Below are 26,605 nucleotides of genomic sequence, written 5' to 3' on the forward strand. Positions count from 1 at the left end.
CTTGAGTAGGAGCTACTTCTCTCCAAGGCTTTATATCATTCATTCTGGCAGGCCCCTCTGTTTGTTCTCACCAGCTCCTGGGAAATTTATTTCTCCTCTAGTGATATAAAAGCTCTCTGTTTGAGATGAAGGGCTGCCCAGTTTATCAGATCTGTATTAGTCTGTTCTCAGGCTGCTAATAAAGACATACCTGAGACTGAGTAATTTATGAAGGAAAGAGGTTTAATTGACTCACAGTTCCACATGGCTGGGGAGGCCTCACAATCATGGCGAAAGACTAATAAGGAGCAAAGTCACATCTTACATGGCTGCAGACAAGAGAGCATGTGCAGGGGAACTGCTCTCCATAAAACCATCAGATCTTGTGAGACTTGTTCACTATTACAAGAACAACAGACAGGAAAACCCGCCCCCTCAATTCAATTACCTGCCACTGGGACCCTCCCACAACACATGGGGATTATGAGAGCTACAATTCAAGATGAGATTTGGGTGGGGATACCGCCAAACCATATGAAGTTCTTTCTTTGTTACTGGGTACCATATCCATTCTGTTGAGGTTCTGAGCCTTTCCAGTTACTGTAACTCCTCTATCTCCTGTCTGTGCTAAGACTCAGTGACCTCTCTCTGCCTTGCTTCTGCTTTGTCCTGACCCTTTCTGTGCATGCACTCACTCTAGTTTGCCCACCTGAGGTGAGAGATGGTCCAGATTAGCAACAACAATCTGTGGACTAAAATCCTCTTTAGGGAGGAAGCAAAATTCAGATGGATGTTACTAAACAAAGCTCAGAAACAGAGACCAGGGTGTGGGAAGTAAGGTAGTAGCCTGAGAGCAGCTGGCAGTGTTTTAGACCTGGAGGGAGGTTAGGTCATCAGCAATGAGGAGACTGCCTGGAAAATCCTAGAAAATTAAGACATCTGGTCAGGCAAGGTCATATCACCAGCACACTTCCCTTTTCAAGTTGAATCCCTTTCCTCTGTTAAGAGGATTCAAGTGTCTTTCTTGCATTTTGTCTTCTCTTCTATATCCATGCTTGCAATATAAGGAGACAGCAGTTGGCTGTTTGTGCTAGAAAATATAAATGGCCATTTTGAAAGCATGCCAGACAGGATCTGCGGCAAGTTTTCAATGTTACTGCTGCCATCTGTTGTTCTTCAGTGCTGGGATGTGAATCTCTTGGCAAACATCTCTCTAATTCTGAACTATCTTTCACCCCCATCTAGAGATATTCACTTACTGAAGTGCCTTTTTAAAGCAATGTTCCTCACCAAGGCGATGTTCTGAATGTTTTAAAATGGAAGAATCTGGAATGTTTTTATTATAATACATTTTGTATATCCCAAAGCAAAAATCAATTTCTTCATGGTTAATACTTTTGTAATTTTGTTTTTAATAATATTTTCCTTTTAAATATAAGAAATATTTTATTGAATTAATACTTTAATGTAGCTGTTTCAAGTAAGATAAAACAGAACAGATTACTGTTTTCAACCTTGTTCACAGTTAGCTCTGTAACTAAGTTGTTGAGCTTTATCTAAGCTTTTTTATTTTTACATAACGTTTCCCTTTTCACTTAACCTTGAAATTATAGTAATTTGGGAACTTCTATTCCTCTGAAAGAGAAAGCTAATGCCAAAGATATTTCAAGGGAGAAAGAAGGTTTTTAAAAGGAGAGACAATTTAGCTCAGACTTAATAGCTGTGATTGCTATTTATTAAGCAGAACGCCTATAACTAAATTCTCAGATATCCAAAAAACAGCCTGTACATTCTCAAAAGTGAAGATTACACATTTTCTAAGTTAAGGTAAAAGTTTTGTCTCTGTAGCATCTTACTGATTTCTATCTTCTCATTCTGCCTTAATAATGTCACTAAATAAATGTTTGATGCACTAATACATGAATAAAACTATTCATGGTAATGATTCTTTAGAAACACAGCTAAGTTTTGTAATTTTGTTTTTTAAAAATTAAAAATTTAAATATAAAAATGTTTTTAAAAGGCTTGAATTTCTTGTTAAATGTACACATTTTAAGTTGTAGGCTGTCTTTAAAAATAATCTCTCCACACACTGTAGTATTTAAAACATCATGATATTACTATAAAACATCAACAAATAGGGCAGTGGAAAACATGGTAATCACTAAAAATGCTCACATGTCATATATTAAGACTTGATAAGTAAACCACAATAATAAATAGAAAAGAAATAGTTGTCTAAAAAGGGATTCTCACCTTTCAAACCTTACCATAAAAATGGAATATAAAAGAAGGAAGAGGAGGAGAAATCAAATTATATCATAAAATTTTCTGGGCAAAAATATTACAGAAGAAAATAAGAAAGATTTATGGAGTTGACTGAAACATTTTTGAATCCTATACATAAAAATATCGTTAATTAAAAGGAAAAACAAAGAAACAGATTTGGGAAATATTTGAAACTGGTTTTTTTTTAGCATTTAAAAATGTAATACAAATGGATTATTTAAACTCCATTGCAAAAATACACAAAGGACATTGACAATGTCTGGAAATAAAATTAGCTAAGTAAGTTATAGAAAAACTCAGTCTCACAATTTGACAAATGTAACTGAAAACTATTAATATAATTAGTAACTATTTTTACATGTCAAAATTTTTGAATTACTAAAGGAAACCACAATGCCTGAAAGTATCCAGGGTTTTTTTTTTTTTTATAATATTGGCACTGTCATATGGGTGGCAGGAATTGAAGTGATGTTGTTTCTTCAGTTATTAAGTTGCATCTGCAGTGTTTCAAATGTCCAAAACCTGTGAGTCAGTAATTCTCTTTTTGTATATTTATCCTAATACAATAATTCTAAACATAATCTCAATATATATGTACAAAGTTATTCACTGCAGTGTTACTTACAATAGTTAGAAAATTGTAAAATGCTTTATGCATCTTAAAATATAAATTGTTGAATATATAATAGTCCATATGATATAATTATATCATTATTATAAATAATGAATTAGAAAATAATTTAAGAGCATTAAAATAATTATAAGGTAATATGAAGTGAATGAATAATGTACAGATACTATAATCAGCAGAGTGTTAACTAGGTAAATTTTTATGTGTGTATATACTACTTCCTAAAAATGACTTGACAGAAATCATCAAAATGCTAATGGTGGTTACTTCTGGGTGGGAATACAGATGATTTACTTTGTTCCTTTTATGTATTTCTGCACTGCCCAGTCTTCCACAGTGAGCATATATTGGTTTTTAAATTTATATAAGATGGAAAAAGATACCAAATGGTCTTCAATGAATCCTGGAGTTAACTTTCATGTGTGTCATATGTTATATTCTAAACTTATCACAAATAGAAGACTTTAAATCAACTTGTACCTATTTCAACTATATAACAGCATCTTTAAAATGAGCATTGAATTAAACTACCAAAACCAACCATCATGAGGATTATTCAAGTAATGTGTTTAAACAAAAGAATTTGTAATAAAATTACTTTATCTCCTTTGTGATTTCAGCCCATTTAAAAAAAATAGATGTTTCTACTCTCCTTCAGATATCATTAAAACATAAACTTGTGCCTGACTGCATAAATCCCTTTTAAACTAATATCACTTATTACGTTTAACTAAGTCTACCTAGGGCTTCCTTGTATAAAGAACAAGAGCTTTCCATTTTTTGTTTACCTAGCCCTTTCTGATGCCACGACAGAATAGCTGTAAATCTTCATTATTTATATTCTAGAGAAAATAAAAGCAAATAAAAAGGTCAGTGTATAAAGTTTATTGGTTGTTCTCTTTACTCAAAACCCACATGGTATTAATGTTAGTCTCTATGAATATTTCATGGATAAAATCAGAGCATTAAGTGCATACTAAAAACAATAAGAATGGAAAGACTTTAACCTTATGTTTATATGAATTTCTAGGTTATCAAGAAGTTTATAGGCTATAGGCTATAAAGTCTTAGGCTATGATATAGTAACCTAATGTAGACTTCCCTTGATACATGAAAATAATGGTACTAAGTACAAACAGAAGATGAGCTTAAAATTATTCTTTGAGTCCTCTTGATGGATTTTTTCCCCCACACTTTCCCCAAAATTGTTTTATGCCTATATTGTAGGAGACCATGCAAGAGACCTAGAGTCTCTTTTTCTTTCATCACTTTCCAATCAACAGCAAATCCTATCATTTTTACCACAAAATATATCTTGAAACTCCCTTCTTTTGATTTACTTGTAACTCCCCATCAAAAACTGAAGAGTGTCACAATACTTCATTAAGTTCCCTACTTGCACTCTACCTTTAATATATTTGTAGCACTAAAATGTTTTTAAAACATATATCTGCTTATGTCATTTTACTGCTCAATACTATCTGATTTTCTATTGCACTTCTAAGATACTCTAATTTCTTAGCACTCTATATAAAATCCTTTAAGGGCTTCCCTGCTCACCTTTTCAGACTCAGAACTATGTATTTCCTTTTGCCTGCTGTACTTGTACCACTGGATTCTTGATTTTTGTTACTTCCAGGTTTTTACACTTATTTTTACAATAAATGTGAAATACCCTTTTTGACAATATCTACAAATATTTCTTATTTGTCTTTATTGCTCTTTCCTGTAATGTTTAGTCTTCATTTTCCTGATAATGGCTATCTAAAGTTATCTCCTCAAAGAAGCAGTTATTTATTCACCCAAATCTTCTAGTCCTTCTCTGGAGTTTTCTTCTCACTTCATTCCCTTGGTTTTTGCCACAATTTGTAATAATTTGCAATTTGGAGTGTTAGAATGAGGGAATAAATCACAGGTAATGACTATAGTTTGTGACTATGTAAGATTGGATTCGTTATTGATTTATTCCACAAACACTGAGGCACTGCATTTAGCCAAATGCCAATCTTGGGCAGTGAGACTCTGAAAGAGAATCTGCTTCCCCCACCATAAACTACAAAGTGAAACAACTCAGAATGTACATAAATTACAGAATGAAAGCACACTAGAAGTAAACACAGATGTGGAAGAGGTAAAGTGTCCTTGAAAATCATGGAAAGATTCATAAAGGGAATGACATTTCAACTGGATTCTAAACCAGTTATTCAAGCTCCACAAGGTTGCACAGTAAATGAGCAGTGGCAGGATGACATACCTTAGAAAGTAAAAGGAATCTTTTTTAAACTGCTATAAAAATCATTACATATACATTTTGTAGGTCGAGAGTAAGGTATTTAACATAAAATCATTTTAGTATATCAGTGTTTATATAGACTTAGGTTTTTCTCATTTAAAACCTCTTTTAATGACTTGTGCTTTTCTTCATGGTAATAAAACATTTTCCCAGGAAGTGCTGAATAAATCTTTCTTGAAATACGTTTTATTGCTTTCTATCAATGACCCTGAAGTAATACAGAATTTACACTTCAGCGGTTGCAATGCTCAAACTTGACAGGTAATGCACTGTGTTTGCTGATATAAGAGGTATGATGTAGGGCTAAGTGGTTTTGTGCTCATTTAGCTTTCAGGAGAAAATAATTGACTTAACATTTTGATACTAAAACCCAAAGCCTAACAGTTAATTCTTGGTATTTTAAATTATTATTGCAAAGATTATTGTGCCGAATAATATGAAAATATTTTATATAATATTTAAAAAGTATATCTCTTTCTTGGTATTATTTAAATTACCATAAAAATGTGCGAAAAAGTTATACTGAAATGTGATAGGATCTTTTAAAAGTGGTGCCTTGATTTTGTTAAGTGTTACCTAGTTTTCCTCTGAAAACAAGAAACATACCCAGAAGTTTTCACGAAATGGTCTCATGAATATCTAAGGTTAGTCCATAGTCTCATCTGAGACAAGGAAAGTCCCTTCCACTATGAGCCTGTAAAATCACAAGCAAGCTAGTTACTTCCTAGATACAATGGGAGTACTGGTATTGGGTAAACACAGCTGTTTCAAATGGGAGAAATTGGCCAAAATTAATGGGTTACAGGGCATGCAATTCCGAAATCCATCTGGGCAGTCAAATTGTAAAACTCCAAAATGATCTCTTTTGACTCCATGTCTCACATCCAGGACATGCTGATGCAAGAGATAGGTTCCCATAATCTTTGGCAGCTCTGCCCCTGTGGCTTTGCAGGGTATAGCACCCCTCCCAGCTGCTTTCACAGGCTGGCATTGAGTGTCTGTGGCTTTCCCAGGAACAAGGTGCAAGCTGTTGGTGGATCTACCATTCTGGGGTTTGGAGGATGATGGCCCTCTTCTCATAGCTCCACTAGGCCGTGCTCCAGTAGAGACTCTGTGGGGGCTCTGACCCCAGATTTCCCTCCTGCACTGCCCTAGCAGAGATTCTTCATGAGGGCCGTGCCCCTGCAGAAAACTCTTTCCTGGGCATCCAGGCATTTCCATACATCTGAAATCTAGGTGGAGGTTCCCAAACCTCGATTCTTAATTTCTGTGCACCTGCAGGCTCTCTACCACGTGGAAGCTGCCAAGGTTTGGGGCTTGCACCCTCTGAAACCACAGGCTGAGCTATACCTTGGCCCCTTTTAGCAATGGCTGGAGTGACTGGGACACAGGGCACCAAGTCTCTAGGCTGCACACAGTATGGGCACCCTGGGCCCAGCCCTCAAAATCATTTTTTCCTCCTAGGCTTCTGGATCAGTGAAGGGTGGGGCTGCCATGAAGACCTATGACATGCCCTGGAGACATTTTCCCCATTGTCTTGGGGATTAACACTGGCTCCTTGTTACTTATGCAGATTTCTGCAGCCAGCTGAATTTCTCCTCAAAAAATGGGTTTTTCTTTTCTACTGCATTGTCAGGCTGCAAATTTTCTGAACTTTTATGCTGTTTCCCTTTTAAAATGCGATGCTCTAACAACACCCGTCACCTCTTGAATGCTTTGCTGCTTAGAAATTTCTTCTGTCAGATACCCTAAATCATCTCTCTCAAGTTCAGAGTTCCACAAATCTCTAGGGCAGGGGCAAAATGCCACCAGTCTCTTTGCTAAAACATAACAAGAGTCGCCTTTGCTCCAGTTCTCAGCAAGTTCCTCATCTCCATCCGAGACAACCTCAGCCTGGTCCTTATTGTTTATATCACTATAAAAATTTTTGTCAAAGCCATTCAACAAGTCTCTACTCCAAACTTTCCCACATTTTCCTGTCTTCTTCTGAGCCCTCCAAATTGTTCCAGCCTCTGCCTGATACACAGTCCCAAAGTTACTTCCACATTTTTGGATATCTTTTCAGCAATGCCCCGCTCTACTGGTACCAACTTACTTTGTTAGTCCGTTTTCACACTGTTGATAAAGACATACCCAAGACTGGAAAGAAAAAAAGGTTTAATTGGACTTACAGTTCCACATGGCTAGGGAGGCTTCACAATCATGGCAGGAGGCAAAAGGCATTTCTTACATGATGGCAGCAAGAGAAAATGAGGAAGATGCAAACGCAGAAATCCCTGATAAAACCATCGGACCTTGTAAGACTTATTCACTACCACTAGGACAGTATGGGTGATACCACCCCCATGATTCAAATGATCTCCAACCAGGTGCCTCCCACAACACATGGGAATTATGGGAATACAATTCAAGATGAGATTTGGGTAGGGACACAGAGCCAAACTATATCACATGGATTTCTTATACTTTTGCTTTTAATAACACAAACAAAAAAATACATCATTAAAAGGTTAGAAGTGAGAAGGTGTTTTTATGGAAATCAAAAATAATATCACCTTAGTGAACAGTATTCTTATGATTGTAGTTGAATTAGAGAGCAGAATACATCTAGAAGATTCAGTAGTAAGCATGTTTCTTCGATTAATGGAAAATTTGAATAGCCTAGCTGATTGAGATTGAGGTTACTATTAAATGCCTGAAGTATAAGAGTTGGTTGTTTATGTAAACAAAATATCTGTTTTACATGTACATGTGTAAGTAGGACTGTTGAGCCCCAGTAACATGAAATATCAAAGAGCATGACTCGAATACCTGCCATATGAAGTGCTATTACATCAAAAAAGAGGCGTGTGCTGAAAAATTACCTACAAATGGCATTTTCCTCAAATCAATTTTAAATCTTCAGAATTTCATTTTAATAATTGTTTAGTTAATATTTCAGAATCCCTCATCATAAAAAGCAGGCAAAAGGCAAAAGTCCTTGAATGTATAACACATTTGTTTTCAAACAAGCCTGCCTCTAACTGTGAATCCAGGAGTGAATCCAGAACTACAAATTAACTAAGATTGGCCCCATCGAGTTACTGAACGTTAAAAATCTAAAAACTAAAAGGCATGCCTCAACAATTATTTTCTTCTTGGAATCATTAATTAACCTATGTGTATCCAAACAATAATCTTCCAGCAGTTTCGCTAGCTACATTTTTAATTACTTAATATCATGTAAAATTTGTTTTATTATTGTTCAGTTCTGAATTTTGACATATGCATCAAGCCATGCAACTGCTACCACAGTCTTCCTGATCACTGATCTGTTCTAAATCTCTATAGCATTTTTCCTTTTCTTAAATGTTGCATAAATAAAACCATACCTTATGTGGCCTTTTGAATCTGGCATCTTTAACTTAATGCGCTTGAAATTAATCTATGTCATTTCATGTATCAATGGCTCAATCTTTTTAATTGTTAAGAAAAAATGTATGCTGGGATAAATATCTTTCTAAATGAGTTTTTGTTCACAATGCTGAGTGTTTGTTTAGGATAGATTCCTAGAAATGGTATCACTAGGTCAAACATTCAAATAATTTTAAAATATTTGATACATATTGCCAAATAATCTCAAATTTTTTACCAATATACATTTATGACAGTATGGGATAAATGTGTCTTTCTTATACCAACTGACAACATTAATGATAATACATAAAATATTCTTTGCTAATTTGATGGGACAGAAATGTTATATCCTTATTAGCATTTTATTATTGTGGTTGAATGACTGTACTGTACAGCCAGAGATATTTGGTTCAAAATCCATCTTCATTATTTACTGTATGTGAAAATTTAGGTGAGCTATTTAATCTCTTGATGCCTTAGTCTCCTAATCTATAAAGTGGGGATAATTGTACCAATCATATTAGGTTCCTGTGAGAATTAACTGAATTACTATAGAAAATGCTTAGAATGGTATCTAGTCACCAGGAAGGACTCTCTCTGTATTACTTGTTTATTATCTAACACGTTTAATTATTAATGAAGCTCAGTTTCGTTATATGCTTGGGATATTTGAAACTTTTCTTAGTGAATTTTCCAATAAAATTATTTGTCTATTTTTCTATGGACAAGTTGGTATTATTCTTACTGGTTTGTTTCAGGTTCAGTTAGTAAGAATTTTAAGGATTTTCTATCACATTTTAGCAAACTTTTTCTGCATTTTATCTTTTTTCTTTCAGATAATGTTTGCAAAATGTAAAAAAAACAAAAGGTTTCTTCATCAAGTTGGTATCTTTATCTTTTTTATTGCTTTGTGATTTGAAAATTCTTGTCCTGAGAACCAAAATATATATTTGATGAAATAGTTCTCTTCTTTTACTCATTCTGAAGTCATTGGAATTGAATTTGGCATATGATATAAATCCTAATTTTATATTTTATGATATTCAAAATTTCTAACAAATATTTACTTAATAATCTAATCCAGGTTTCTATTGTTTCTTCTGTTTCCTTTATAATGCTTTTTCTGAAGTTATTTTTCCTAGACTTAAATATTAGTATAATATTATCATAGAGGAAAAAATATCTGTTAGCTATGAATAAAAGGCTTTCATCTTATTGTTGCATTAATATATTTAAATGTAGAGAGCATACAGATTAGCAAAGAAAAAGTATAATTGCCTTTTTTTATAGTTGACATGAACATGTATAAAGAAAAGCCAAAAAAATCAATAAAACAACTAGAACTTATTAGTGAATTTAGCAAGATCATAGCATACAAAGCCAAGATTCAAAATTCCATTTTATTTATCTACTAACAAAAACTATTTGAAATTTGAAAATTTAAATATGCCATTTACAATAACATCAAAATATTGAACAATAAAGTATTTAGGAATTTATAAAATGAAATCTCCTATACCAGGAATTACAGACCATTGCTGAAATAAATGAAAGAAGACCAATATATGTGAAGAGATACTCATTTGTGGATTGAGAGACAATATTGTTAAAGTATCAGTATTTCCCAAATTAATCAATAGATTCAATATAATGGTGAACAGAACACCAGAAGATGTTCTGTCGAAGCTGACAAGCTATTTCTATAATTCAAATGGAAATGCAAAAGGCAGTCACTGCCAACACCAGCATGGACTGTCTGGGTTCCAGTAGGTTACTTCACTACTGCCTCTTCTGTCAGCCACATCACGACAGCTGCCCAGAAGCCAGAGAAACTCCTCACACCTGGCCCACTGCTGCAGCTACCAGCATCCAGGCAAGCCACCATCAGCCCACTGGTAACTGCCAACAGAGGTACCACTGTACACTACCCTGGGGAACAAAGATAGGCATGTAGTCAGCCCACCTCTGCCACCACTAGGGCCTGAAGCCTGGCCCACCTGACACTGCAGTCCTCAGCACAGCTTCATCACAGCTTCTGTTAATAACCACACCCTAACCTACCAAGGAAATCACAAATGTCACTGACACTGTTTGTAGCCAAAGAAATCATAGAGAGACTACATTACTGCACACACCCATAATCAAAGCCACAGTACCCTATCCAAACAACATCACAGGTATATCTAAAGGAAAAAATTTTCCCATATGAAAGCGAATTCAAATATAGGAAGAAGCGACTGTTACAACAGATATGCAGATAAAGCTTCAACAATATCCTACATTCAACCAGAAGAAAGAATCTCAGAAGGTAAAGACAGGTCTTCTGAAATAATCTAGTCAGACAAAATTAAAAGAGAATAATCAAATCCTTCCTGACATTTGGGATAACATTAAAGTGACCAAATATACGAATTATAGATACCCCTGAGAGTGAAAAGACAAAGAAAAGATTAGAAAACCCACTTAATTAAATAATATATGAAAACTTCCTAAGTCTAGCAAGAGTTTTAGATATTTGGGATGCAGGAGGCTCAATGGTCCCCAGGCCGATAAAACGCAAAAAGGTCTTATACACAGCACATTACAATCAGACTGTTTAAAGTCAAAGATAAGGAATAAATTCTAAAAACAGCAAGAGAAAGTGTATGATAACCTATGAAGTAAACCTTATCAGACTGACAGCAAATTTCTGGCAGAAACTTTACAGGCCAGAAAGAATAGGACAATATATTCAAAGTGCTTAAAGAAAAAAAAAACTATCAGCCTTAAATACTATAGCCCACAAAATTATCCTTCATAAATGAAGGAGAAATAAAAGGTTTCCCAGACACGAAAATGCTGAGGTAGTTTGTTACTACTAGACTGGACCTACAATAAATGCTCAAGGGAGGTCTGGAAACTAGTAGTGAAAGGACGACATTTATCATCATGAAAATACATGAAAGTATAAAACTCCCTGGTAAGCAACTAAAGGGAGGTATCAAATGTTACCACCAGAGAAATCTAACTAACCACAATGACAAACAATAAGGGAAAAAGAAAGGAACAAAAATATATAAGACAACGAATAAACAACAATATAACAGGAAGCCTCACATATCAGTAATCACTTTGAATGTAAATGAATTACATTCTCCACCTAAACGTTATGAAATGCCTGAATGATAAAACTATATGATCCAAATATATGCTGATTACAAGAAACTTACCAGGCAGACATACATAGGCTGAAAGTAAAAGAATGGTAAAAGATATTCCTTGCAAATGGAAAGCAATAGTGAGCAGGAGTAGCTATACTTAAATTAGATCATACAGACTTTAAGTCAAAAAGAGTAAAATAAAAAAGACAAAGGATGTTATTATATAATGATGAGATTAACCCAGCAATAGGAAATAACAACTCTAAATGTATATGCATTCAACACTAGAGAACTCAGATCCACAAAGCAAATATTAGACCTAAAGAGAGAAATAGACTGCAATACAGTAATAGTGGAGAACTTCAACACTCCACTTTCAGTATTAGACAGATAATCTAGGCAAAAAATCAACCAGTAAATTTTAGATTTAAACTAGATTTTAGACCAAATGGACCTAACAGACATTTACAAAACATTCCATCCAACCACTGCAAAATGAAATTTGTGTCATCAGCACATGAAACAATGTCCAAGATAGACCACCATATGTTAGGCCACAAATCATGTCTCAGCAATTTTTTAAAAGTTGAAATCATATCACATATCTTCTCAGACCACTGTTGAATAATGCTAGAAATCAATGCCAAGAATAACGTTGGAAACTATACAAATACATGCAGATTAAACAACATGTTCCTGGTTGATCACTGGGACAATAAGGAAATTAAGCTGAAAATCAAAAAATTCTTGTAACAAATAAAGATTGAAACATAACATATCAAAACCAGTGGCATACAGCAAAAGCAGTGCTAAGAGGGAAGTTTATAGCAATAAATGCTTACACTGAAAAAGTAGAAATATTTTAAAATTAGCAACCTAACAATGTGCCTGAAGAAACTAAAAAATCAAGAACAAATCAAACCCAAAATCAGCAGAAGAAACACAATAATAAAGATCAGAAAAGAACTAAATCAAATAGAGACTAAAAAAATACAAATGATTAACAAAACTAAAATTTGGTTATTCAACAAGATAAATAAAATTGATAAACCACTAGATAGACTAAACAAGGAAAAAGAATATCCAAATAAACACAATCAAAAACGATAAAGGAGACATTACAACAGATGCCACAGAAATAAAAAGGATCATCAGAGACTATTATTAACAACTATATGCTGAAAAATGGAAAATATAGAGAAATAGATAAATTCCTAGAAACTTACAACCTACCAAGCTGTTGCATCAGGAAGAAATAGAAAACCTGAACATATCAGTAATGATTAGCAAAATTGAATCAGTAATAAAAAACATCTCCCAACTCTTTTAAAGCTTTGGACCAAATAGCATCACAGCCTAATTCTACCAATCATGCAAAGAAGAATACCAGTCTTCTTGATGCTATTACAATAAATCAGAGGAAGGAATTCTCTCTGGCTCATTCTACATGACCAGTGTCACCTTGAAACCAAAACCTGACAAGGACACCACAAAAAGAAAACTACAGGCCAATAACCATGATGAACACAGATGCAAAAATCATTAACAAAATACTGGCAAACGGAATCCAACAGCACATCAAAAAAATAATATACCACAATCCAGAGGGTTTGTATCAAGGATACAAGTATGACTCAATGTAAATAAATCAATAAACATGATAAGCATCTTCACAGAATATAAGACAAATGAATATATGATCATCTCAATAGATGCAGAAAAAAATTTTTGATAAATTTCAACATCTCTTCATGAAAAAAAACTCTAAAACTCAGCATAGAAGAAACATACCTCAATATAATAAAGGCCATATGTGACAAACTCAGAGCTAATATCATACAGAATGGGGCAAAGTTTAAAGACTTTCCTCTAAGAACTGGAACAAGACAAGGATGCAAACTCTCACCACTCCTATCCACATAGTACTAGAAGTCCTAGCCAAAACAATCAGACAAGCAAAAGAAATAAAAAGTATCTAAATTGGGAAGAGCAAGTAACATTGTTCCTCTTTGCTGATGATATGGTTTTGTATCTGGAAAATACTAAAAACTCCAGCAAAAACCTCTTAGATTTGATTAATTAATTTAGTAAAGTTTCAGGATACAAAATAAAAATACAAAAGTCAGTAGCATTTCTATGCCCCAATAATAAAATAGCTAAGAAAGAAATCAAGAAAGTGATCCCATTTAAATTAGCTACAAAAAATTAAAATACCTGGGAATAAATCAAGGAAGTTAAAGATCTCTGCACAAAACTACAAAACACTGATGAAAGAAATTAAGGATTAAACAAACAAATTGAGAAACATCCCATGTTTATGGATCAAAAGAATTAATATCATTAAAATGACCATACTTCCCAAAGCAATTTCCACATTCAATGCAATTTCTACCAAATTACCAATGTCATATTTCATAGAATTAGAATAATCCTAAAATTAGTATGGAATGAGAACAGAGCCCAAATAGCCAAAGCAATTCTGAACATAAAGAACAAATCTGGTCCTGACTTAATCACTATGCAATCTATGCATGTAACAAAATTGAACATGGATTTTATCAATTTGTACAAATAAAAAAATGTAAAAAAAGAACAAAGCTGGAGACTATAGTAGCCAAAACAGCATGGTATTTTTAGACAAATGGTATGGAATAGAAAGCTCAGAAATAAAGCCATATATATATATATATAGTGTGTGTGTGTGTATACACACATACATGTATATATAATGTGTATATATAATGTTTTCTACATGTTCTAATATTTATATTCCATTCCATTATACATATTCCATTTCTGTATATAGGTTATATAGAATTGGAAGACTATCTGCCATTAAAAAGAATGAAATCCTGTCATTTGCAGCAACATGGTTGAAACTGGAGTTCATTATCTTAAGTGAAATAATCTAGGCACAAAAAGATAAATATCACATGTTCTCACTTATATGTGGGAGCTAATAACTTGATTACATGAAGGTGGAGAATGGAAAGGTAGGTAGGAAACAGAGACTGGAAAGGATGAATGGAGGGTAGGAGGGAAGGTGAAGAGAAGAGAGTTAAAAAGTGTAAACATATAGTTAAAAGAAATAAATTCAATGCTTGATAGCAGAGTACAGTGACTACAGTTAACAAAATGTATTATACTCAGGTGATGAACACCTAAATACTTGATCACTATGCAATTATATACGTGTAACAAAATCACTATGCACTATATACGTGTAAAATTAAATGCGTACAAATAAAAATAATAAAATACTAATCCAGTATCATTCACTGACAATGTTAACTCAGGTGGATAGGCATTAAGTCAATACTACTATAAGAACCACTTCTTGTTTATGTTAATGCCATATAGAATGAAATAAAATTCACTAAAATCCAAAAAATTAGAAAAACTATCAAAACTCAATAATATTAAGACAACCCAATAAAAATGTGGTCAAAGGATTTGAACATACATGTCACCAAAAAATATATTCAAATTTCCAATAAATACATGTAACAATGTTCGACATCGTTAGTCATCAGAGAAATACAAAATAAAATGGTAATGAAATACTACTAGATAGGCTTTTACAGAGACTGACAATACCAAGTATTGACAAGGATATGGAGCAACTGAAATTCTCATTCCTTGTGGTAAGAATGTACAATTATATAACCACATTGAAAAAACAAGTTTTCAGTTTCTTTATTCACCCAAAATATATGTCTTTTGGAAAAAATTTTTTCCAGTCTGTGGGTTGTCTTCTCATTCTCTTGATATATGTCTTTTCAAAGAGGCTGAGCTTTACTTTAGACAGTGGTCATCAAAGTGTGTATATTTGTGTTTTTATAATTTATATGCATATATTCCTGTGAAAAGATACTGTATGCATTGTTCAACATGTACAAATATAAGAAAGATATAGTAAAGAAATATATATTTCTAAATTTATAAATGTATTTATTGGTGTTCCACGTTGCAAACTAAATAATCTACGTTGGCTAATTTAAGGAATTAAACTATAGTAGAAGGTTCTCATTTATTGGGATGATTAGAACCAGCCTTTTTGCAGGCTATTAGCGAATCATAGCACTAGGGCTTCACTGCTACCTCCACTGACACCTCTGACACTTGAAACTTGAGGCCAGATATCTGCCCATGCTGATAGAAAACAACTGAATAATTTAATTTGCTAGATAATAGAAAAGAATCAAATGACTCTGCCACATTGCTTGCCAGAAGATTGTTTTTCTCATTTGTGACCTCTTGCCTATAAATGATAGATAGTCCCTGTGCTGCATGCTATAGGTGTTCGTAAGAGAGTCTGGGAATGTGAGCTTTTTATATCCTATTTTTGGGTGGTAAAGGTCATTCTATTAGTCTGTTCTTAAACTGCTAATGAAGACATACCCCAAATTGGGTACTTTATGAAAGAAAGAGGTTTAATTGACTCACAGTTCAACATGACTGGGGAGGCCTAAGGAAAGTTATAATCATGGGGGAAGGGGAAGCACACATGTCCTTCACATGGTAGCAGGAAGGATAATGAGTAAAAGGGGGAAAAACCCCTTATAAAACTATCAAATCCCATGAGAACTCACTCTCACAAGAACACAATTAGAGTAACTGCCCCCATGACTCAATTACTTCCCACCAGGTCCCTCCCACAACACATGGGGCTTATGGGAACTACAATTCAAGATGAGATTTGGGTGGGGACACAGCCACACCATTTCATTCCACCTCTGACCCCTCCCAAATCTCGTGTTCTCACAATTCAAATACAATCATGCCCTTCCAACAGTCCCCCCAAAGTCTTAACACATTTCAGTATTAACACAAAAGTCCAAGTCCAAAGTCTAATCTGAGACAAGGCAAGTCCCTTCTGCCTATGAGCCTGTAAATTCGAAAGCAAGTTAGCTACTTCCTAGATACAATAGGGTCACAGTCATTGGGTAAATACACAGATTCCAAACGGGAGGAATTGACCAAAACCAAGGGGCTACAGGCCTCATGGAGGTCCAAAATCCAATAGGGCCATTGTTAAACCTTAAAGTTTCAAAATTATCTCCTTTGACTTCATATCTCACGTCTAGGTCATGATTATGCAAGAGGTGGGCTCCCACAGCTTTGGGCAGCTCTGCCTCTGTGGCTTTGCAGGGTACAGCCCCACTCCAGGCTGCTTTTACAAGCTAGTGTTGAGTGCCTGCAGCTTTTCCAGGCACATGGGTGCAAGCTGTAGGTGGATCTACCATTCTGTGGTCTGGAGGATGGTGGCCTTCATCTCACAGATCCACTAGGCAGTACCCCAGTGGGGACTCTGTGTGGGGGCTCTGATCCCACATTTCCCTTCCACACTGCCCTAGCAGAGGTTCACCATGAGGGCTCCACCGCTGCAGCAAACTTCTGCCTGAACATCCAAGCATTTCCTTACATCCTCTGGAATCTAGGCGGAGGTTTCCAGACCTCAATTGTTGACTTCTCTGCAAATGTAGGCTCAACACCCCATGGAAGCTGGCAAAGCTTGGGGCTTTCACCTTCTGAAGCCATGGCCTTAGCTGTACCTTGGCCCTTATTAGTTAAAGCTGGAGCAGCTGGGTTGCAGGGCACCAAGTCCCTATGGTGCATACAGCAGGGGGGCCCTGGACCCAGCCCACAAAACCAATTTTCCCTCCTAGGCTTCTGGGCCTGCGATGAGTAGGGTTGCCACAAAACTGTCTGACATGCCTTGGAGACATTTTCCCTATTGTCTTATTAAGATTTGGCTCATAGTTACTTATGCAAATTTCTGCAGCAGGCTTGAATTTCTCCTCAGAAAATGAGTTTTTCTTTTCTATGGCATCATCAGGTTGCAAATTTTTAAAACTTTTATGCTCTGCTTCCCTTTTAAAATTAAGTTCCAATTCCAAACCATATCTTTCTGGATACATAAAACTGAATGCTTATAACAGCACCCAAATCATATCTTGAACACTTTGCTTCTCAGAAATATCTTCTACCAGATACCCTAAATTATCGCTCTCAAGTTCAAAGTACCACAGATCTCTAGGGCAGGGGCAAAATGCCACCAGTCTCTTTGCTAAAGCATAACAAGAGTCACCTTTGCTCCAGTTCCCAACAAGTTCCTCATCTCCATCTGAGACCACCTTAGCCTGGATTTCATTGTCCATATCATTATCAGCATGTTGGTCAAAGCCATTCAACAAGTCTCTAGGAAGTTTCAAACTTTCCCACATCTTCCTATCTTTTTCTGAGGCCTCCAAACTGTTCCAACTTCTGCCTGTTACCCAGTTGCAAAGTTACTGCCACATTTCTGGGTATCTTTACAGCAGTGCCCCACTCCTGGTACCAATTTACCATATCCATTTATTCTCATGCTGATAATAAAGACATACCCAAGGCTGGGTAGTTTATAAAGAAAAAAGAGGTTTAATTGACTCACAGTTCAGCATGGCTGGCAAGGCCTCAGGAAACAGAATCATGGTGGAAGGGAAGCAAACACATCCTCCTTCACATGGTGGCAGGGAGAAGAATGAGCAAAACGGGGGAAAAACCCTTATAAAGTCATCAGATCTCATGAGAACTCACTCTCTTGAGAACAGCATGAGGGTAACCATGTCCATGATTCCATTACCTCCCAACGGGTTCCTCCCATGACACGTGAAGATTATGGGAACTACTACAATTCAAGAGGAGATTTGGGTGGGGACACAGCCAAACCATGTCAGTCATGATATGAGAAATTATCAAATTAAGATGTAGGGAAGGTTTTTAAAAGATTTGAGCAACCACAAATGACAGATATGTGCTATAGTAGTGCAAAATACCATTTTGCTCTTATTAAAAATATAATTGTTCTTGATAATCTGAATTATAAATGTCATGGATAATTATGATGCATTATGCTCTCAGCAGCTAAAACTTCAAGCAAAATACACACCTAGAGAGGAATCAGCCTTAACAATAATTCTATAAATTTAATTTTCTTTATTTCTGATAGTTACATTTTAGTTGACTTCATATGTGATCTAAATACATTACCATTATTTTGGACTTATGATGTAGCTCTTGAAGTACATATATGATGTAGCTCTTAAAGTACATATAGAAGAGCAGATAAAGTATCAGTTCACCATTTCTTTGTAGTTTGTGCTTTCATGATGAATATTCTCATCAATGTACAGATTATTTGCAGGAGCCTTTTAAATCCATGTGTCCATTTTATGAGACTTAGCTTTTGTCTGTATATAATGTGTTTATTCAGTGTGCATGGATTAATTTGAGAGAGCACAGGTATGGGTATCTTTACAGCAGTGCCCCACTCCTGGCACCAATTTACTGTATTAGTTTATTCTCATGCTACTAATAAAGACTATATATCACAATAAACTGAGAACCAGCTGGTAAATGAGAGAACTGTGGTCCACCTTTTCATTGTGGAGTTCTCATTTTCCTTAGCTTATGCTGCTTATTCAACACTATTTCTGCATAATCTAATGCATTCACTAAATGAAGGTGCTGTGTTAGCCTCCACATGATATTAATACAGCCTATTTAATTTATCCTTCTTTAGATTAAAAATAAATAAGTAGTCATGTGCCACAGAATGACACTTCAGTCATTTGGTCATTGAAGGACCACATCTATTACTGTGGTCCAATAAGATTATAATAACATATTTTTCCTGTACATTTTCATTGTTCTGATATGTTTTGATACATAAATGCTTACCATCGTGTTAGAGTTGCCTGCAGTATTCAGTACAGTAACATGCTGTACACCTAGGAGCAACAGGCTATACCACATACCTTAGGTGTATAGTTAGGTTATACCATCTAGGTTTGTATAAGTACACTCTATGATGTTCTCACAATGAACAAAATCACCTAATGATGCATTTCTCAAAACATGTCCCTGTCATTAATACAGTATGTAACAATACAGTTAGTACAATATGTAATACATGACTATATTCAGAATTTTAGCTATTTCTCTTATATTTCAAATGGATTTTCTTATGCACTGTGTGGCACGGGCATTTCATTTTAGTAACCACAGTCTGGGAAAGGAGAAGTCTTTGAAGGATGTTGAGCAAGGTTATGACATGGCCAGATGTGAATTTTTGATCAGTGACTCCATGTTAGCAGATAAAGTTGTATTGGGAAAGATCAAAAGCATGAAGGCCAGATAAGAGGATACTGTATGTTATCATGGATGGAAATGTGAGGGATGGCAGGAGAGATGCTATGATTGAATGAATCTCAATATTCTTGGTGATCAAAGAATAATGAGACTCATGCAATAAGACTCTGTGAATGATTGAATGTAGTTCCTAAGCTAGGAGGAAGAATGAGGAATGATTTTCTGGTTCCTGACTACAGCACAAGTTTTGGATTTTTAGAACAAAGAATAAATTTGTACATGCTTTATGATTCCTGGTTGAATTTTTAAGGATAAAAAAGTCAGCTGTAATATTATTCTTTCCTGATACCATGCAGTATTTGTATCAGTGATCTTATTCATTCCACACACATTCTTCTTGAACCTGGACACTGCTCTAGACACTGATTCTTTCCAAATATCAGATAAGGTTATTCTTATGTAGACCCTCAGTTCATATAAATATGATTTTCCCAAAATGTGAAATAAGTGACTTTTCATAAGATATTTTTTAAAAGAATGTCTTAATAATAAATTGTGAATGTTGCATGGAAATGTAGGTGACTTGCATTGTGCATCCTGTGTTTGATTCACTGCTCTTGCATGTCTTGCCTTTAGCTGGGATGACAGCAGTTCAGTGAGCAGTGGTCTCAGTGACACCCTTGATAACATCAGCACTGATGACCTGAACACCACATCCTCTGTCAGCTCTTACTCCAACATCACCGTCCCCTCTAGGAAGAATACTCAGGTGAGAATTACCACCTTTCTTTTTCCAGTGTTTCTGCCAGCTTTTTCCCCAAAATTACTTAATATTAGATTAAGGTATAGCACAAGCCCTTAATCCAAAATTATTACAGAAACTGGAAAATGCAGAGATAATAAGGACTCCCTTTGCCACTCCTGAACCCTGAAGCATCTTTCATCTTAGTCTTTCCTAAAGCCACAACCCTTAGGAGGAGCAACAATGTGCACTGCAGCCAATTTTGAATAAACAGAAGCAGCATATATATATATATATATATATATATATATATATATATGATATACATTACATATTTATATATATGTAATATATGTGCCATATAGCCTGGTGGTATAGTTATCTATACAAATATATTTATTTATTGTTAATATATAGAGTATATAAATATCTATTTATATAATAGATATTTATATATATTAAATATATAAAAATATATAACATATAATAGATATATATTTTATATATTATATAAATATATATTTATATATTTAATATATTAATGATGAATTACTATATTTGTATAGATAACTACACCACCAAGCTATATGGTGTGTATATATTAATATATAATGTATAATTCTATATTAATATAATAGTAACATATCAATACTTAATATAATATATATTCAATTGATTACAATCTAATTCAGAAAGATTTATGTTGCCATATCTCTCCTTACAATATCGATATGTTTGTTTAAAAATCCAGCAATTATTTTCATAGTCTAATTTTAGATAGTTCTTGATTAATTTTATATGATCTCTGAAATATATCACTGGATCTGTTGTGAATGATAAATCAAAAATGAAAAATGGACATTACATCATTAAGTTCTAGCTTGTCTTACTACTTCTTATGACATTTGATATAGAAAATTTCTACCTTTCTGTAGCGTTTAATTGGTGTTTTCTGCATGTATTTATTCTGAAATTCTCTAATATCTGCAAGTGGGAATTATGTGGCTAAAATTAATAAAATGTAAGTGAAGGTAAATCAAAATAGAATCTTTGGATTTATCCAGTTATCTGAAAGTACATTTCATTGCCTTAATTCATACTTTATAAATTTTTCTACATAAAGTTTTTCTGTAATATTTGTCTTTATAGCTGAGGACAGATTCAGAGAAACGCTCCACCACAGACGAGACCTGGGATAGTCCTGAGGAACTGAAAAAACCAGAAGAAGATTTTGACAGCCATGGGGATGCTGGTGGCAAGTGGAAGACTGTGTCCTCTGGACTTCCTGAAGACCCCGAGAAGGCAGGGCAGAAAGCTTCCCTGTCTGTTTCACAGACAGGTTCCTGGAGAAGAGGCATGTCTGCCCAAGGAGGGGCGCCATCTAGGCAGAAAGCTGGAACAAGTGCACTCAAAACACCCGGTAGGCTTGTCGTTTGCCAGCTGTTATGCAAAAGTGCTTTACTTTATTGTTTCCATTCAATCTTTGTTTTCTCTAACAATAGCATTTCTAAAATACCAAATTCTTATCCATATTAAACATGGAGTCAAATAGTTAAATAGTTTTTCTGTCTACGTTTCACAAACTCGTCATAGAAGCCCAAGTAGGGCCTATATCTAGGCATTCTCTGGAAAGCCTCCTCATAAACTAGGGGTACTGGATGCCTTACCTTGCCAGAGTTATTTCAGGTAATGGGGAAATAAGATTAGGTTGCTAAAGCAACAGTTAAGTTTTTTTGTTTTTGTTCTGCGTTCTTAATGAAAGTTTGGAATTTTTACACTAAATATGCCACTGAATTGCACTACAGACTCTGAGAGGAACAAGCAATGACACTAATCAATTGGAATGCTGGAGATTTGAAATATTGTCTGTGTATTAGACTTCATGAAAGAAGAGAATGAAATAGTTCTTCAAAATTGTGCCATACTTTTTTTAAAAAGACTCTCCCCGTATTTTTAAAATAATGCCTAATTATAAATAGTGCCACCTGAAGCACTAATTAACAGGGTACTCCAAATATAATCATCTCACAGATATTCAAATGAATTCTTTTTCTAGTAATTAGCTTGATAGGGTTAAGTGTTATCTTTTTAAAAAGAGTTGCAAAATATAAGACATTAACAAATAGCAAAACATATGTTTTCATTTTATCTCTTCCATCTCTCATAATGTTTCTTCTGACAGCCAAATTTTTGTAGCTATGCACTCAGTCCTCTCAATATATGAGATTTTTGATCTAAGACAATACATTTAGGAAGGGAAATAATATAAAGAAGCATTCACATTTTACACATTGTTTCACGAAGTGTGGTGATATCAAACTCTACAGGCACATATATTTGTGTATTTCTCCTTAATTAGGGAAAACCGATGATGCCAAAGCTTCTGAGAAAGGAAAAGCTCCCCTAAAAGGATCATCTCTACAAAGATCTCCTTCAGATGCAGGAAAAAGCAGTGGAGATGAAGGGAAAAAGCCCCCCTCAGGCATTGGAAGATCGACTGCCACCAGCTCCTTTGGCTTTAAGAAACCAAGTGGAGTAGGGTCATCTGCCATGATCACCAGCAGTGGAGCAACCATAACAAGTGGCTCTGCAACACTGGGTAAAATTCCAAAATCTGCTGCCATTGGCGGGAAGTCAAATGCAGGGAGAAAAACCAGTTTGGACGGTTCACAGAATCAGGATGATGTTGTGCTGCATGTTAGCTCAAAGACTACCCTACAATATCGCAGCTTGCCCCGCCCTTCAAAATCCAGCACCAGTGGCATTCCTGGCCGAGGAGGCCACAGATCCAGTACCAGCAGTATTGATTCCAACGTCAGCAGCAAGTCTGCTGGGGCCACCACCTCGAAACTGAGAGAACCAACTAAAATTGGGTCAGGGCGCTCGAGTCCTGTCACCGTCAACCAAACAGACAAGGAAAAGGAAAAAGTAGCAGTCTCAGATTCAGAAAGTGTTTCTTTGTCAGGTTCCCCCAAATCCAGCCCCACCTCTGCCAGCGCCTGTGGTGCACAAGGTCTCAGGCAGCCAGGATCCAAGTATCCAGATATTGCCTCACCCACATTTCGAAGGTAAGGATGTATAAAATGATGCTGGAAAAATATAAAGGATAAATATGTGTTAGACACATACATTACATATAAATGTGTGTATATATATATTTTAAATATGTATAAGGTATATATATATCTTAGAATTCTTTAAAGTACACAGTGAGCTCTATGAAGCTTATCATATAAACAGCTAGCAAAAAAAATAGTTCTCATTTTGAGAAACAGTCAAACTTCAAAGTTTCACTGTCATTGTGATACTAGCAACACAAACAACATCTAAGAGACTTAAAAGCTGATGGTAATACCTAAGTGTAGTGATAAGGCAAAGTAATAGCTTGTAAAATTTCTATAGATTTCCATTCCTCCTTTTCACATTAAAAATTAAAACCAAATAGGTTTTCATGACTTTTGGCATTCATTTCCAGTGTCATTTTCTTGCTGGCTCTTAATGAGTTGGTGATCATAAATGTAGATGAAGTTGTTTTCCTTGTAACAGATTCCATTGGACAGATTTATACAGTGTCATATCTTGACACATTAAAGACAATCAAGATATGACATAATTTGAAACTATTCCAGTGTTTGGTACAGTATCACAACTGAAGAGTGGGCTAAGCTTTCTAACTCTTCATCTGCTTTCTTTGACATGACTCTGGTAAGGATCATGACTTGGTTTCTGTTCCTGGATTGTTTTTGGTGTTAAATATGTGAAGTTCTGCTCTAAGATATCACTGTTTTTAAATACCCATGTGTTTTTAAGTGGTAGGAAAATAAATGCAGTTAAAAATTGGGGACAAATATCTAAACCTCTCTGAGTCTGTTTTCTCATCTGCAAAATGGTAGAGTGTGGTTTATAGTTCATTATGGGTTCAATATTTTTAATGTTTGTTTTTATTCTGTTGACTAAACCCAGAACTTTGATATCTTGGAAAGGAAAGATTTTGAAACATTTATTTTACAATAAAGCAATTTCAGATACCTGATTGTTTGAAAAACCTAAAGGCTTTATTCCTCCGTAGTAATATTAATGCTGCAGAACTGTCTTTTTAAAATACTGATTCTCATTGGGAAGAATGAATTATGGCGTATAGGGAGAGTAAATATTTCTGTTTCTTAAGTAAAAGCCAATAGTGCCCTCCTGTGGCCCATTACCTATGAAACAATTTCTCATATTCGTCATAAAATATTTCACTGTAGGAAATATGGATTTCATTGCAACTCAATTAGTAATCATTATGCCATTACTTCATATCATTGTATTTCCATATTTACATAAATTTGATTCTACCATCTGCTTCATTTACAAAACTAAAATGTTTTCTGAACTAAACTCCAAAATCTAACAGCACCAGCTCTGTTTCAAATCACTATTAAAAAATGTATTTGAATAGCACTGGCAACTGACATAAAACCCTTTGGCCTCTGCTGGGGAAAATACAGACAAACTGACTTGTTGCCGACAATGTCAATATTGTTTCCAACCAACTGCTCCCTGACAGTGACTCAGACCACCAGATACTCAACACAACTCCCTAAACTTGCTTTAAGCGTTCCATCTAGATTTTGAATAAACTGTTTAAAAATTTAAAAATAAAAAAAAAAGAGAAGAGCTCATTTAAGTGTTGTCTATCGAATGCGTAGAAGTTGTTTCATTATAATGGTTCTGTAAATAGGTAACAGCAAGTATATGGTCAAACTACTGACTTTGAGTGAAAGTCTCATGATCACTTAAATTATGAAAACCAGGGGTTTTCATGTTTGACTTACTTTTGTTCCACCCACTTCCCCTCTTTCCCTAGTAGCAGCTCAGTACTGACCTACCCTTATATGAGAGATTTTCTGCACTTGATAAAGAAGTCCAAGCTTATAAAAGTTCATTAACATAGAGACAGGAAGTGCTTTGTAGTTCAGTACATCAAAGCACACTTGGCTCTGTGTACTGTAACCCGAAATATTAAATGTGGATATTAGCTTCTTGGAACAACTGAAGTTGTTATTTGTTTTTCTTTTAGGTTGTTTGGTGCCAAGGCAGGTGGCAAATCTGCCTCTGCACCTAATACTGAGGGTGTGAAATCTTCCTCAGTAATGCCCAGCCCTAGTACCACATTAGCGCGGCAAGGCAGTCTGGAGTCACCGTCGTCCGGTACGGGCAGCATGGGCAGTGCTGGTGGGCTAAGCGGCAGCAGCAGCCCTCTCTTCAATAAACCCTCAGACTTAACTACAGATGTTATAAGCTTAAGTCACTCGTTGGCCTCCAGCCCAGCATCGGTTCACTCTTTCACATCAGGTGGTCTCGTGTGGGCTGCCAATATGAGCAGTTCCTCTGCAGGCAGCAAGGATACTCCGAGCTACCAGTCCATGACTAGCCTCCACACGAGCTCTGAGTCCATTGACCTCCCCCTCAGCCATCATGGCTCCTTGTCTGGACTGACCACAGGCACTCACGAGGTCCAGAGCCTGCTCATGAGAACGGGTAGTGTGAGATCTACTCTCTCAGAAAGGTGAGCTTTCCTGGAGGCATTGATAACATCTTCCCCCTCTTCCCTGCACTATGCCTAACCCCCACCCCATTAAATTCCCTTGATTTCACTGTGAGTGCCCCGGTGCAAAAAGATGTAAGACTGATGAAACCGGGCCTTTCATTTGCTCTCATTACCAAATTTACAGAGGAATAGAATCATTAAAGGTAGGGTGAGTGGATAATTTTGTTAATATGAATGCATACATTTATACCCAGTAGGCAATGTGAATAAAATTCAAGGAATGTATTTAGATATTGAATGAGGTCTCCTGAAGACATTTTAATGATTTGGCTTAAGCTTCAGAACAACACTAGCTCCTTATGATGACTTAAGCATTTTGAAAGACCAAATTGAAATTATTCTATAGTTATGCTCAGAGCAATATGTTAAATTTGTTCCATTTGTACTTCTATGAAAAAATAGCAGATGG

At 35.4% G+C, this 26,605-nt stretch overlaps 1 protein-coding gene across 31 annotated transcripts in view, besides 2 other annotated features; it reads left to right on the forward strand.

The window, feature by feature from the left end:
* NAV3 (neuron navigator 3) overlaps positions 1-26,605 on the forward strand; it is a 641,149-nt gene that overhangs the window by 524,413 nt on the left and 90,131 nt on the right. For 19 of the 31 annotated variants that reach the window (XM_017020166.3, XM_047429817.1, XM_017020167.1 and 16 more), the window contains 4 exons: positions 20,498-20,630; positions 21,753-22,023; positions 22,963-23,671; positions 25,666-26,154. In XM_017020166.3, the coding sequence (XP_016875655.1) occupies positions 20,498-20,630; positions 21,753-22,023; positions 22,963-23,671; positions 25,666-26,154 (1,602 nt within the window). The remainder of the gene's footprint in view (positions 1-20,497; positions 20,631-21,752; positions 22,024-22,962; positions 23,672-25,665; positions 26,155-26,605) is intronic. The other 12 variants (XM_047429823.1, XM_047429826.1, XM_017020168.2 and 9 more) reach the window with 1 other exon arrangement.
* Positions 5,913-6,414: an enhancer, noted in NCBI's record as "H3K27ac hESC enhancer chr12:78495967-78496468 (GRCh37/hg19 assembly coordinates)". NCBI's record gives its function as "activates a minimal SCP1, AML or CMV promoter by ChIP-STARR-seq in primed H9 embryonic stem cells {active_cell/tissue: H9 hESC(primed)}" and the evidence as "EXISTENCE:reporter gene assay evidence [ECO:0000049][PMID:30033119]".
* Positions 6,415-6,914: an enhancer, noted in NCBI's record as "H3K27ac hESC enhancer chr12:78496469-78496968 (GRCh37/hg19 assembly coordinates)". NCBI's record gives its function as "activates a minimal SCP1, AML or CMV promoter by ChIP-STARR-seq in primed H9 embryonic stem cells {active_cell/tissue: H9 hESC(primed)}" and the evidence as "EXISTENCE:reporter gene assay evidence [ECO:0000049][PMID:30033119]".

Source organism: Homo sapiens, chromosome 12 (assembly GCF_000001405.40).
Source record: "Homo sapiens chromosome 12, GRCh38.p14 Primary Assembly".
In the NCBI taxonomy this organism is placed as follows: Eukaryota; Metazoa; Chordata; class Mammalia; order Primates; family Hominidae; genus Homo; species Homo sapiens.